The sequence below is a fragment of the Homo sapiens genome, chromosome 14 (genome assembly GCF_000001405.40).
Source record: "Homo sapiens chromosome 14, GRCh38.p14 Primary Assembly".
Classification (NCBI taxonomy): domain Eukaryota; kingdom Metazoa; phylum Chordata; class Mammalia; order Primates; family Hominidae; genus Homo; species Homo sapiens.
The window spans coordinates 106,211,677-106,226,801 of record NC_000014.9 but is presented as its reverse complement, the minus strand read 5'-3'; the positions used below and the strand labels follow the sequence as shown (position 1 = coordinate 106,226,801).

Sequence of the window (15,125 nt, the reverse complement as noted above, 5' to 3'; positions counted from 1 at the left end):
GAGGTATTGGATAATAGAGGCAGATCCCTCAAGAATGGCCTATGCAATCCATGTGGTGATGAGTGAATTTTCTGTTAGTTCGCATGAAATCTGGTTGTTTAGAAAAGTCTGGAGCCTCCTCCATCTCTTCTCTTGCCCTTTCTTGGCCCCATCTCTTCTCTTGCCCCTTCTCTTGTCATGTAATGCACCTGTGTGCCTGCTGCCTCTTTGCCTTCCACAATGGTTATAAACTTTCTGAGGCCCTCACAAAGCAGATGCTGGCACCACGCTTATTGTAAAGCCTAGCAAATGGAAAGCCAAAATGAAACCTGTTTTATTTATAAATTTTCCAGCCTCAGGTACTCTTTCCTAGCAATGCAAGGACACAGCAACACAGAAAATTGGTATCAAGAAGTGGAGCATTGCTATTAAAAATATGTGAAAATATGGACGCAGCTTTGGAACAGGATAACCGTCAGGGATTTGGAGGGTTTGGAGGGCTCAGAAAAAGTCAGGAAGATAAAGAACAGTTGGGAAAGTTTTAGAGACTGGTTAAATGGTTTGACCAAAATGATGAAATAAATATGGACAGTGAAGTCAAGGCAGAGAATGTCTCAAATGTAAATGAGAAAGTTATAGGGAAGTGAAGTAAAGATCGCCTGTCAAGCAAATCACTTGACTGCATTATGTTCATGTCCTGGGGATCTGTGCAAGTTTGAACTTACGAGTGACGACTTAGGGTATCTGACAGAAAAAAAATTGTCAGTAGCAAAGCATTCAAGATGGAGTCTGCCTGCTTCTAACAGTCTAAAATCAGGTGCAGAAGTGAATAAATGACTTAAAGTTGGAACTTCTATTTAAAAGAGAAGTGGAACATGGAAGTTTAGAAAATGTACAGCCTGGTTCTCTGGTAAAGAAATAATCCAGTTACACTGTGAAGCAACCGCTTGCTAGAAAGATTAGCTTGACTAAAAAGGAGCTGACTGTGGTAATACAAAACAATAGGAAAATAGTCTTGAAGTCAATTCAGAAATCTTTGAGGCCAATTCTCTCATTACAGGCTTAGGTATAGGAGCAGAGAATGTTTTTGGGGGTGAGACCAGCTAGGGCTCAAAGGTACAGCTCGGTTCACCACGTCTGATGGCGCAAGCTGTGATCCTTGGTGGCTTCCATGTGGCATAAAGCCTGGGTCTGCACAGTATGCAAGAGTCAACATGGCTTGGTGACTGGCCTCTAGATTTCAGAGGATGTGTGAGAAAGGCTAGGTGCCAGAAATGAGCCTACCTCAGGGTCAGAGTACACACAGAGTAATTTTTCCAGGGCAATGCTGAGGTGAAATGAAGAGTTAAATCCCCCAAAAGAGATCCCCAGGAGAACACTGTGTAGTGGAGCTGTGGAGAGAAGGTCACTGGCCCTCTAGAACCCAGAATGGGAGATCCAATAGCAGCATGTGCCCCAAGCCTAGAAACGCTGAAGGCACTCAGCTCTAAACTGTGACAGCAGCCGTGTTGGCTGCACTGAGAAAAGTCACATAAGCGGTTTTGCTCTCAGACTTGCGAGCCCATAATTGCACCGGCTGCAAGATGTGGAGTCACTGGTCACTTTGGAGGCTTAAGATCGAGCGCCTGTCCTGCTAGGTTTTAGGCTTGCATAGAGCCTGTTACTCATTCATTTGGCAAGTTCCTCTCTTTTAAAATGGAGATGTTTACCCAATGTCCGCACCAACATTGTACCTTTGAAGTAAATAAGTTCTTTCTAATTTTACAGGCTCACAGATGGAAGAAATGTGGGCATGAATCTCAGACAAGACTTTGGACTTTAATGGTGAAACAAGTTCAGATTTAAGGGGCAGATTTCGAGGGGTGGGTATTGGGAAGAAAATGATCCCATTTTGCAGTTGAGAAAGATATAAGATTTTGGGTGATAAGAGTTATGTGGCTTCCATATATGTCCATTCAAAAATCTCATGTTTGACTGTTATCCCCAATGTTGGTTGGGGTTTTGCGTTACGGGGGCGGATTCCTCCTGAGTGGCTTAGCGCCATCCACTTGGTGACGAGTGAGTTCTCACATAGTTAGATCACTCAGGATCTGATTGTTTAAGGGAGACGTGGATCTCCCCCTTTCCTTCTTTCCCCTGCTCACCATGTGACACTCCTGCTTCCCCTGTGCCTTTTACCAGAAATATAAGGTTTTTGAAGCCCTCACCAGAAGCAGATAGCAGAACCACACTTCCTGTACAGCCTTCAAAACAGTCAGCCAAATTAGAATTTATTTTTTATAAATTTCTCATCCCCAGGAATACTTTTATAGCAGTTAAGGAATTTCTATAAGAAAGAAAGTACTGAATTTAAAGGAGACGATGAGGGTGAAACATCAGAATGAAATTACTGACCTCATGAGTAAAGACACCAGACAGTCTCTCTCTCTCTACTTCTCTCTCTCTATTTCTCTCTCTCTCTCTCTCTCTCACACACACACACACACACACACACACACATGCCCTAAATGAAAAGATCATATGATCAAGTAACAATATGATGGCTGCTCTGAGCCAAAAGTAGAAGCCTCAAACTAAACCTATCTTGTCAGCATCTTGATCTTGGAGTTCACAGCACTGATAAATGGAATAAAATTAATGTTGCACGAGTCACCAAGTATGACAGTTTGTAATGGCAGCTTAAACTGACGAAAGAAAATTTGGGGTTAAGAAGAGGAAATCTGATGTTACAATTATTTGAACATTGTGAAAGTAGCTTGGAATTGGGTTATGTGTAACAGGATGGATACCTTTGACATATATGAAGAAATTTGCATATTGAGGGTCATGCTGATAGACAGAAATGAGTGGTTTTGGAAAATGGAGCAATAGTCATCCTTATCATAAAGTTTTTTAAAAAAAACTTGGCTGGGCAGTGATATAATATTTAGTGAAAGAGAAGTTGTGAGTAGTGAGAAATTGTGAGTAGCTGAGAATAGTTCTAAGTGTTGAAGATATTTTGCTTGATTCCTCCTGAGTGCTTAAAATAAGTGAGGTAGATAAATTAAAATCAGAAAAAAATAAAAGAAAAAGAATACAAAAGCTGAGGGCTTAGAAAATTCACAACCTATCCATATTGCAAAAATCAGAAACTGTATTCTACAAAGAACACTGAGTATATGGCTCAAATATCACTCAGTAAGAAGCTTAAGATACTCTATGAAAAGAAATATTTCAGGTTTTAAAGAATGAGAATTGACCTGAGACAAATTTGATGCATACTGTTAGATTTTTCAGATTTAATGGCCTGGAATAATAGAGCTACTTGGCTGCAAATGTACACAATTCTTCCAGAAGAGAGAAAAATAAGCTTTAAATTTATTTAGAAACCATCAGACCACTGCCTCTATTTCAACAGACCAGAAAGCCTGTTTCTAAAATCTTGAGGAAGAAACCACCCAACAGAGGCTTGGGTTGGGAGCACCCAGCAAGCCCTGTGTGTAGGGCTGCATGAGGCCCTTGACATGGGAGCTGGGCCTAGCAGTGCCTCAGGAGCGGTGCCTCTGCCTGCAGCTTTGGAGCTGATTCTGCTGCTCGAATAAGCTGAGAAGGAAAAAGAATGTTTCAGAGAAGATTACAGTGGAGGCTTAAAGCATATGGCAATTTGTTTTCCTATGCATTGTATTTGCTGGAGACAAACCACCCATTTTACCCCCTATTTTTTTCTTTGGCAATGAAGCTTTCTATTCTATGCCTAATTCAACAGGACACAGCAGCGGCTGTATCCAGTTTGACAAGATTCAGCATGAAAGGTTCCTATTACCTGTGCCGGATGCATCACTGATATGCGGCCACCAGTTTCTTAGGTTCATATCACTTTAAGGGACCAAATACAAATGTCAATAGCATATGTCATTCTTAAACTGCAGAAATGGTGTCAAAGAAGAATGTGGAGATAAGAGAGCAGGAGGAATTATGAAAATCCAGATAGCATCTTCTCTTCTAGAGTGGAAGGTACACTAGTAATTTCATGAAACAATAAAATAGATGAAATGTGTCATCATCATGGAGTGTCTCACAGTGGCAGTGCACAAATAAATTTCTAAAAATTCCATAAGGTAGGTGTGATGGATGAGGCTTATTTCCACACAGGGAGCCCATAAATACCCAGATAAGTAAAAAATCCAACACCTGGAACGAAAAAATGCCTCATCTTGACATCACAAACCCATCTCAGTAAGTCCGAGGAGTAATGTGGAAATGAAACGGAAAATTCACAAACACATTTATTGTGAAATTTTTAGCACATGTTTGAACATTAAAACAGAATTGTCCACAATTTTAGGAAAACCACTCCATGACAATGAGTCACTACACTCATAGAAACACCACTGAGTCAACAGAGTTCTAACTGTCAGCAGGTCAGTACTGAGGCCTCAGGAGAATCAAGGCTCTAGGGTACATTTTACAGAACCCAGAATTGAGCCACACAATCTATAGCCAAATGATCTTTGACAAACTTAACAAAAATTAACAAAAATATATACCAGAAAAAGGACACCCCATTCAATAAATGGTGCTGGGGAAATGGAAATGAACATGCAGAAGAACAAAACTAGACCCCTACCCTCAACACATACATACTCAACACAAAATGAATTAAAGACTTAGATATAAGACCTCAAACTATAAATGTACTCAAATAAAATACCAGGACAACTCTTCTGGGCATTGGCTGAGGTAAAGAATTTATGACTAACACCCCAAAAGCACACCCAAGAGAAAAATAGACAAATGAGACTTAATTAACCTAAAGAGATATTTCGCAGCAACAGAGTGAACAGGCAAGTTGCAAAATGACAGAAAATTTTCGCACACCTTGCCTTTGACAAGGAACTAACATGAAGAAATTACAAGGAATTAAACTATACAACGACAACAACAGGAAGAAGAACCAAATAACCCTATTAAAATGAGCAAAGGACATGAGTAGACATTTCCAAAGAACACATACAAATGGATAATAAATACATAAACAATGCTCAACATCACTAACCATTAGGGAAATGCAAATTAAAACTACAATAAGATATTATCTTACAAAAGCCACAGTGACTATTATTAAAAACTCAAAAGTATCAGATGTTGGTGAGGATGGAAGGTAACAGGAACTCATCTACACTGTAGATGAGGATGTGGACGAGGACAACCTCTATGGAAAATAGTATGGAGTCTGCCCAAAAAACTGGAAATAGAACTGCCATTTGATGCAGCAATCCCACCACTGGGTAACTACTCAAAGGAAAATAAATCATTACTTCAAAAAGATATCCATGCTTCTATGTTTACCACAAAACTATTCTTAATAACACACATGTCAACCTGAGTGTCCACCAACAGATGATTTTATAAAAGAACATAGCACGTATACACAATTCAATACTAGTCAACCACAATAATAAATGAAACTGTCTTTTGCAGCAAGATGCCTAGAACTGGGAACAACATAATTAGTGAACTAACTCACAAACAGAGAGTCACATGTCACACATTATTATTTATAAGTGGAAGGTAACAACGTGTCCACAAGGATATGGAGAGAGAAATGATGGACACCGGAGACTTAGAAGGATGGGAGGTGGAAGGTGGGAGCATGAGGAGACATTACCTAGTGGGTACAATGTACATTATTTGGGTGAGAGTACACTAAAAGCCAAGACCACTGTGGAATATATCCATGTGCAAAAGTTGCACTCATAGCCTTTAAATTTATATAAATAAATGTACAAACAAAAAAATTAAAAATATAAAATAATTAACAGTTGACCAATGATCTTAAAGTTAAAATTTAGACCAGGCGTGGTGGCTCACGCTTGTAATCCCAGCACTTTGGGAGGTCGAAGCAGGTGGATCATGAGGTCGGGAGTTTCAGACCAGCCTGGCCAACATGGTGAAACCCCATCTACTAAAAACACAAAAATTGACCAGATGCGGTGGCAGGCACCTGTAATCCCAGCTACTCGGGAGGCTGAGGCAGGAGAATTGCTTGAACCCAGGAGGCGGAGGTTGCAATGAGCCGAGATCATGCCACTGCACTCTAGCCTGGGCGACAGAGCAAGACTCCATCTCAAATAAAATAAAATAAAATGTAAAAAATGATCAATAAATGAAATTACTATCAGTTGAAACTCATTAAATTTAAAGACATTTTCTACTCAAGTAACTATAAGAACATGAATGTCAAGTTTCAGATGGGAAACTATTTTCAAATCAGATAACCACCAATTTAATTATAATAAGAACTCTCAGGACTCAACTGTGAAAAAAAAAAAAAGAAAGAAAGAAAGAAACAACCCATGGATAAAATAGGCAAAGGTTTGTGCAGACATTTCATCAAATAAGATGTGCAGATGACATAAGCATATAAACAGGCTCTTAACAGGATTTTCCATTAAAGGAATTCAAATCAAGCCCACAATGAGAAACCACTATACACTTTTTAGAATGGCTGAAATTAAGAAGAAATACAGGTAATACCAATGCTGATGAGCATACCAAGTTCCTAGTGTCTACGACATTGTTAATGGGACTGCAAAATGAAACAGCTACTCTGGAAGATAATTTTTAGTTTTTTCTGCAATCAAACATGCCCTTAACACATGACCTAAATATCCCACTCTTGAATTTTGCTTCAGAGAAATATAATCTTATATTCACACAAAACCTCTATTCAAATATTCAAGATATTGCGTGTGTGTGTGTTAGAAACTAAAAATAACATAAATATCTCAAAATCTGAATAGGTGAAAAAACTAGGAAGCAACTATAAATTGAATACCATCAGCAATAAAAAATATCAAATGATCGATTCACAAACCATTACAGGTGAACTCCAGGCATTACGCTAAGTGAGAGAAGCCAGTCTCGAATATCAAAGGGACACAGCTGTAAGCAGCACGGTCATCCTCAGGTGTCAGTGGTTTGGGCTGGGCTTTCTTTGTCTCTTTCCTGACCAGACCCAGATGTTGAGCTCTGCCACTTGCAGATGGAAAATTCTACTATTTTCAACCATGCACTGAGGTTTGAATTACTTCACAGACTGACCAAACAAACATGGGCTCCACTGAAGAGTGTCTGGCATTTGTTTCAACCACAAGAGAACTTTTCCCAGCTCTTCCATGTCCTTGGTTCTCTCCTGCAAGCCAGCAGCCCTGCAGTGTAGCCTGCATCTCCCATGCATCCACCCAGCTCCTTCCAAGGGCCTTCCACCACACCCTCCACTGTTTTTGAGAGCACTGGCAGGCTTTCAATTTTTCCACATTCTGTTGTTACTGAAGTTAGGATGTTTAGGACTTATTAAGATCATATTTTATGACTGAATTTCATTGCCCCCTCTCTCCTGGGACAGAGCTCCTAAACAAGGTTCTGCAGGTGTAGACAAAGTTGAGCTGTTTTATTCCTCAGCCTAGGAGCTGAGCGCTCAGTGGAGGGTCGGGCAGGAGCTTCCCACCTTCTCAGCACTTCGGTTATGGTGGGGCAGAACCTCTGCCATAGGACAGAGCTAGGAACCAGAGACCCAATGTTCCCAGTGGCGCTGGACCCAGGGCAGAGCCTCCATCCATGAGTGGGGCTCTATGGAAGGAGTGAGTCTCTGGCTCTCAGTAGCTCTTGTCCAGCACTGAACCTCAGCATCATGTGCTGTGGGCAGGGTCAGAGGGCCAACGTACTGGCCCCTGGGGAAGAGTTTCCTCTGGTGGGAGTTGGTAGAAGGTGCCCTGTCTTCTTGGCTGCATCTGTCCGCAGTGGAGTTTACATCATGCTGAGCTGGGATGTGGAAGGAAGGAAGAGCACCTTAGATCAAATACGATGACTGGCCTTACTGAGTTTTCTATATTTTCTTAAATAAATATTTCTTCACTTGCTTTATGCTGTTAGATCCTTTCCAAACCCTGTAATTTTTTCAAAATAATTTTCACTGGTCTCATGAGGGCATGGATTCATTGAGCCCCTCATGCTGTTAAAGAGAAATAGAACTGTTTTTTTTTTTCACTTTTTAGCGAACATCCATGGGTTATAAAATAATTAGTTGACATTTCTTCCAACACTTTACAGATACCATCAACTTTCCTCTTGCTTGTGAGGTTTTAACCAGAAGAATGCTATCATCATCTTTTCTGTTCTTTTGGAAGGAATGCCCCCTCTACTCACCTCCACTTGCCTGCATATATTTCTATTTGTCTTTGCTTTTCAGCAGTTTTAATAAGATTTACCTAAATGTGTGTGGGGGAAGCAGGGGGTGTTATTCTGTTGTTCTGTGTTCTCTGAGATGCATGGATTCACCATTTACTCTGCCTCCATTTTGGGGAACACAGTTAGAAAAAATGTCAGTGTGAGCCCAGAAACAAGCCTCCCTGAAGGGGGAACAGGACCACCCGGGGGCGCTCAGGACCCACTGAGCACAAGAGCCAGCCTCAGGGCAGGTGCAGACGGGGGTTAAGGTCTGGTTTCCCGTCAGCCCTGTGGCTTCCTCTCCATAAAACAGTTTCCTCTGGGGCACTTCTCTGGATTCCTTATCCTGTTCTTCCTATTCTTCCTGAAGAAGAAACATTTGTCGTAACAAGAGAAAAATTTTCTCACATGCACCAAAGGCAGAGTCACCTACAGTCACTTATTCCGGTTTCTCAATGTGAATAAATTATCAATGCTTCTGAATTTAATCAGCTAAACCTATTAAAGGTGCGGTGTTTAACTCAACACTGCCGCCAGCTCAACAGAACTCCAAGGGTCAGTGAGCAGCAGGCAGGATAAAGGGCATGCTGGGCACTGGGGCAGAGGGAGTTAGCATCCAGTGCAAGAGAAGAAAGGCCCCGTGGTGGTCACTGTCAGGACTTCAAGCCCATAGTTCCAATTGTAGGTGACCACGTTCAAAAGAAGAGAGACCTCATCCATGATTAGTGTGATGTGTCAAGTCTGATAGTGCCACACTCACACCTCAGGTGATTATGAAAAGATTTACCAACTCTACTATTGTCTGCTGAGAGCAGCACAGGCCTCTCAAGAAATTCCAAACTGGAATTTCCTCAATGGAACAGGAAAGGAGGCTGGCTTAGGGCTTTATAATGATTTGGTGGTGGGGTCGGGGGGTCATTTATACTCAGGAGAAGGAGCTTGTGTGATTTAAACCTCACATTGGCATCAGATGAGGGAGCTTCTACGATTTCTGACTAGATTTCCCATATGTGGGGGACAAGGGAGAAGAAGAATAAACCTTAATTCATCAGCAGCAAGCACCAAAATAGGACCTGACACTTTATTCTCCCTAGCAGCTTAAGAAAATGAGTGAAAAAGAGAGATGAGGGTCCACTGTGTGTGAAAAGCAAACAGAAATAAAGAAAATAAAAATTTTTATTATGGTAAGCACATAATAAAAAGAAAGAGAAGAAGGAATGAGACAGACAGTGGTGCTGAATCAATGTCCTGGGTGGGGCCTTTTCATTATCCACTGTCATCAGTTTATTCTGAAGGTCTCAGGTCAGCTTCCTGCTTCAAACTATCACAGGCCCTTATAGGGTATATAAAAATCCTTATAGGATATCCACAGTTTGTCATACTTTACTAAAGTAGTCTAATAATTAGATGAAGTTCTGAATTTAATATTCAGTTATAATAAATATTAAAAAATACCACAATCTACAAATTAGGAAACCGAGACTATATTTTTATCAAGGGTTACAGCCATCCCATATGCTGGAAAGCATAGTTTTGGTAAAGATGAGAGACAGACACTCCCAAGAAGAAGGAGTTGGGCAGAAGATTTATGCTGAACTGTTTGGCTAAACAGACTTAGTCAACAGGTTACAGAGAGGCTACTGATGTTCATGGAGGTGGTGCTGACACATGCATACTGAACACACATGCATTTAACATGTGAGTCCTGTTCAATTGCCAGTGGTGACTTAGCATTTAAATTCATTACAGTCAGGCCCTATGTGCAAACAGCAGAAGCAGAGACACAAAGGCACTCAGGGTGCAGCCTCTGTAAACAGCCAGAGCCAGGCCATGGTCAGCGGTCTCTGATCAGGAGAAAGGTCCTGATATCAAATGTTCAATCAAAGCTGGGGTTATGGCTTGTGGAACAGGGGGTCAGTTCAGCAGGGATGGGCTGCAATTGTCTTCATAGTGCTTGTCTCAGTGCCAGTGCTTACTGAGCCACCAGAGAAAACGAATAACCTATTGGCAGTTAGAACATAGTTTATCTTTTAAGTGTAGAAGTGAGTGGCAAAATCCTCGTCTAGCAAGGCCTTAGGTCTTGTTTATAATTTGACATCTTACTGCCACTGTTCTGTCAGTCTTATGATTTCTATTTTAACATAAGTGTTGGCCATTGCTGCGTCTAAACCACAAAGGGAAGAAGGTATAACGAGGCGTGTCTGATCTCTTGTTTAGACATGGTTGGAAACAGTTTTTGGATTTTTACGGGGTTCCCTAGGCCAAGAGATGGACTATTTAATCAGTCGTGGGTTTTAGGGATTTATTTTTAGGTTACAGTTTATAAATATGAACCCAACTATTGACTTTCTGCAATTTCACTGCTGTGTTGTGGTTAAAAGTACCTGATAAAATTCCTTCCAAAGTGGTTCAAGAGCAATATTCTACCCTGATGTTTCTTACAATAGATATAATTCCCTGCTTTAATGTTATTAGAGGCTATTGAAAAGATGTAGGGAAATGATGGTTTAATCTGTTGATGAATAGTGTGGGTAAAATGCAGTCATCACTTTCAACACTTTGTCATGCATGCATGTAATAGGACAGAGGTGAGCATTGTGGGTAAATCTCTAAATGTATGGGCCTTCCAGCTACCAAATAATAGGCTAATAACTGATGTCTCCCTGAGGGGATTAACTATAAGGCTCTCTTGCTAGGGAGAGAATCTTTGGCCAAGGAAGTTCAAGATTTTCTTAAGGTTTGGACAATTTTAGTTTAAGGATGACAATTTTCTTCAACATTTTCAGAAGATTGTGGATGGGATGGATGCTATGTTGTATACATAATGCTAATGCCTTCCATATTTAGATAATATTATAAACCCCTGACTGATAAGACTGCTTGCTTGGTGTGATGACCCACTACAATATGTATACTTTCAGTTGGTATGCTATGTCATTTTCCTTCAGGTTTTTACTTTCCAAGTTACATTAGTCAGGTCTCTAAAATGCAGGACTGCATCTAAAATGTGTTATTTTGTTGTGCATTTTCACATGTTCCAGAAGGTGGGAGAAATTTCTTTGTGTGAAGAGCATCCCAAAGTCAGGCACTCCTCTAGAACACGTGTTTAATCCTTGTCTTTGGCTTATTGATGAGCTCTGTTGACTGCAATAACTTCTGCCATCCGGGCTGACTTGACATCACATAGAGGAACAAATTCTGAATGAAAGTTTGCTCTACTCAATTGAGTGCATAACCTCATTTCATTACTGATGTATAATGCATCAGAGATAATATTAGATCAAGGATTTCAATGGGAATCTAATCTAAAAGATGTAAACAAATTTTCATAATTTAGATAAAATTACTGTGAGCACACTGCTGCTATTCAGCCATGTCTCCTATCACACTGAATCCACACTAACTTTGACCTAAAAGTTAGCATTTGTTCTAATGTTCAGAATTGTTATTTTTATCATAACGTCTCTAGATGATTACAGAGTGTGGCTATGTTGGCCATCAGTAAAGGAAAGCTATTTTAACTGAATGAAAATGAGACAAAGCACACAACCTAATGTAATGGAAGTCAGGACATGAGTGTCTCCAGGCTTTTGTGTTTCAAGAGTTCATGCACCAGGGGATTTCTTTTCTTACTTGTACACAGAGCAACACCCAAAATGTTCATTTCCTCTTCCATCGACTCTTATCATCTGTTTCTATGTCAGTTAGCTTTGAATTTTTGACCCCAGCTGCATTCAAGTAGCTGCAAATAAGCGTGATTTCATTCTTTTTTATAGCTGCATAGTATTCCACTGTGTATAAGAACCACGTTTTCTTTATCCAGTCTATAACGGATGGACATTTAGGTTGATTCCATGTCTATGGTACTGTGAATTGCACAGTGATACACACGTGAGTGGATGTGTTTTTTTGTTACAATAATTTGTTTTCTTTTGGGCATATACCCAGTAATGGGATTGCTGAGGGGAATTGTAGGTCTGTTCTAAGTTATTTGAGAAATCTCTAGATCGATTTCCACAGTGCTTTGGCCAAGTTACATTTTCACCAAAAGTATGTAAGTGGCGCTTTTCTCTATAGCCTTGCCTGCATCTGTTAATTTCTGATCTTTTAGTGATAGCAATTCTGACATGTGTTAGATAGTATGTGATTGGGTTTTGATTTGCACTTATCTGATGATTGAGGATGCTGAGTATTTTTGTATGTTAGTTGGCCACTTCTATGTCTGTATTTGAAAAGTTTCTGTGCACGTCCCTTCCCCATTTTTAATGGGGTTATCTGATTTATGCTGCTGATTTAAGTTCCATATAGATTACTGACTTGCACACACGGAGAAAGCCAGTATTCAAAACTAAATAGAAAAACATAATCACTTGTAGGTATAGACATACTGAATTTGGAATGGTCATGGCTTGCATGTTGGTATTGAAATGGGACAGCAACTTTGGAAAATGGTCTTCACTGAAAATCTCATACACAAGTGTACCTGGTGTCACCACTTACAGTAGTTGAATGGAGAATACAACTCAAGTGCCCATCGACTGCCACAGGGATGAAGACGCCGCGGTGTGTCTGTGTGTCTCTAACCCACAGGGATGAAGACGCTGCGGCGTGTCTATGTGTCTATAACCCACAGGGATGAAGACGCCACGGTGTGTCTGTGTGTCTGTAACCCACAGAGATGAAGACGCCGCGGTGTGTCTGTGTGTCTGTAACCCACAGAGATGAAGACGCCGCGGTGTGTCTGTGTGTCTCTAACCCACAGGGATGAAGGCGCCGCGGTGTGTCTGTGTGTCTCTAACCCACAGGGATGAAGATGCCGCGGTGTGTCTGTGTGTCTGTAATGCAGCTTTAAAGAGGAGTGAAGCACTGACATAGGCTGCAACTTGGATGAGCCTTGAAAACATTGGGTGACTGAACTGAGGGAGACACGGAAGTCTACATCCCTAATTGTCCCATTGACACGAAGCACGCAGAGCAGGAAAATCCCAGATCACAGGAGGTCAGGGGAAGGGAAACACAGAGTGACCGCTTAATGGAGGTGAGGTTTCCTTTTCTGTGATGAAAATGTTCCCAAACCAAATAGTGGAAATGGTTGCACAGCATTGTGAATGTGTAAAGTATCACTGACCCATACACTTACCAAGGGCTGAAATGGTAAGTTTTATGTTATGTGTATCTCAACACAATAAAAATGAGTGCCACATTTTGTTTAGCATATCAATGACAATAACAGTTCAGGTAAATGCTGGATTCCTCATCACAACCAGTGCTTCCTGATGGAGCTGGATTCAGGGGAGGGACTGGAGTGGGTTGGGTGCACAGGTCATGAAGGCAGCAAAAATTCCAACCCACTCCTCAAGAGTCCAGTCACCACCTCCAGATCTATGTCCAAAAAACAGCTCTTCCTATGGCTGAGCTACATGAGCAACAAGCAAATAACCATGTTTTTTGTTGTTGTTGTTTAGTTTTGTTTTGCTTTGTTTTTAGACAGAGTCTCGCTGTGTCACCCAGGCTGGAGTGCAGTGGTGCGATCTCAGCTCACTGCAATCTCTGCCTCCTGAGTTCAAGTGATTCTCCTGCCTCAGCCTCCCTAGTAGCTGAGACTACAGGCACTCACTACCACGCCCAGCTAATATTTGTATTTTTAGTAGAGACAGGGTTTCACTATGTTGGCCAGGCTGTTCTTGAACTCTTGACTTCGTGATCCACCCGCCTCAGCCTCCCAAAGTGCCGGGATTACAGGCGTGAGCCACCGCGCTCAGCCACAACCATGTATTTTTAAGCAAAAGACACAGTGAGGGGACATCAGTGTGAGCCCAGACACAAACCTCCCTATGCGGGTTCACAGGACAGCATGGGGTGCTGAGGACAGAGGTGGGCACTCAGGAACCAGCAGGGAAACCCAGGGGGCGCTTGGCACTTCATGGGGGCTCAGGACCATTGTGGGCTCAGTGGTCAGGCAGGCTCAAGGCTCAGCCTCAGGGCAGGTGCAGCAGGCGGGGAAAGGCCCTGGAGACTGGGTTTAGTGTCACCTTCTCATTGCGCCACTGGACACCCTCCACTACATCTATTCTAATGTGTATGAGTACTTATGAGTTTAGAAAATAACATTGATATTATAAATCTATAGCCATATGTGGGTGCATCAAGTTACCCTCTTCAACCTATGTGGACCCTGTTCATCAGGAATAAGTCCCTGCATTTGAGGACCTTATAAATCAATAATTATGTAGAATCACTTTCTTTTTCAGTCTCATTTCCTCCCTCTTTCTCTCTCTCACACACACTGACAAACACGCTGGTTGCTATAACTTTAATTACCTGATGTGTTAAAAAAAATTGATTCATTTGGAACTTAACCAGTTTAGCTGTTGTTCACGCTGTTATGTAAAAAAGATCCCTAAATGACTTCTACCTGGTAAGAGGAGGGAAGGCGTTGGAAGGTGAAATTGCAGGAGAAAAAGAAAATCGTGAAACGGATTGATTTGTTTTCTCTATGAATGGTGATTAGGTCAATATTTTTCAAACGGTGAACATATTGTGTGAAGATTATTTGTCAATATTATCTCATTAAAACTATTACAAATAAAAGTGTATAATTTGGTAAAAAAAATGAAGAGAGAAATAAAAATAATACAAGAAAAGTCATGAACTCCTGACTCCACACGTGAGTTAACCCTCAGTTTTTCTATGTTACTTAGAAAAACACTAAGATACAGCCAAAGAATATCATGATATCTTTATAAGAAGAGGGTTTTGTAACCCTCACTCGAAATTTCTAGCTCTGTCCTAGAGTTAATTTAGGGAGCAGTCAGATCCAGCTGTGAGAAACACGGGCCAGACAGTGAGACTGGCTTTTACCAGATGTGAGCTCTTAGACATGTCACATGGCCCTTCCGTGCTTGGGGGTTTACCTTCACATCTGTAAATGAAGGAAA

General features: G+C 41.1%; 1 pseudogene and 1 further gene; both read left to right on the top strand.

Annotated features, from left to right (window-relative positions):
• IGH (immunoglobulin heavy locus) overlaps positions 1–15,125 on the top strand; it is a 1,293,408-nt gene that overhangs the window by 653,043 nt on the left and 625,240 nt on the right.
• IGHVII-20-1 (immunoglobulin heavy variable (II)-20-1 (pseudogene)) lies at positions 13,978–14,016 on the top strand (annotated as a pseudogene). Its single transcript is given in 1 exon segment — positions 13,978–14,016. A coding segment is annotated over 1 exon segment (39 nt).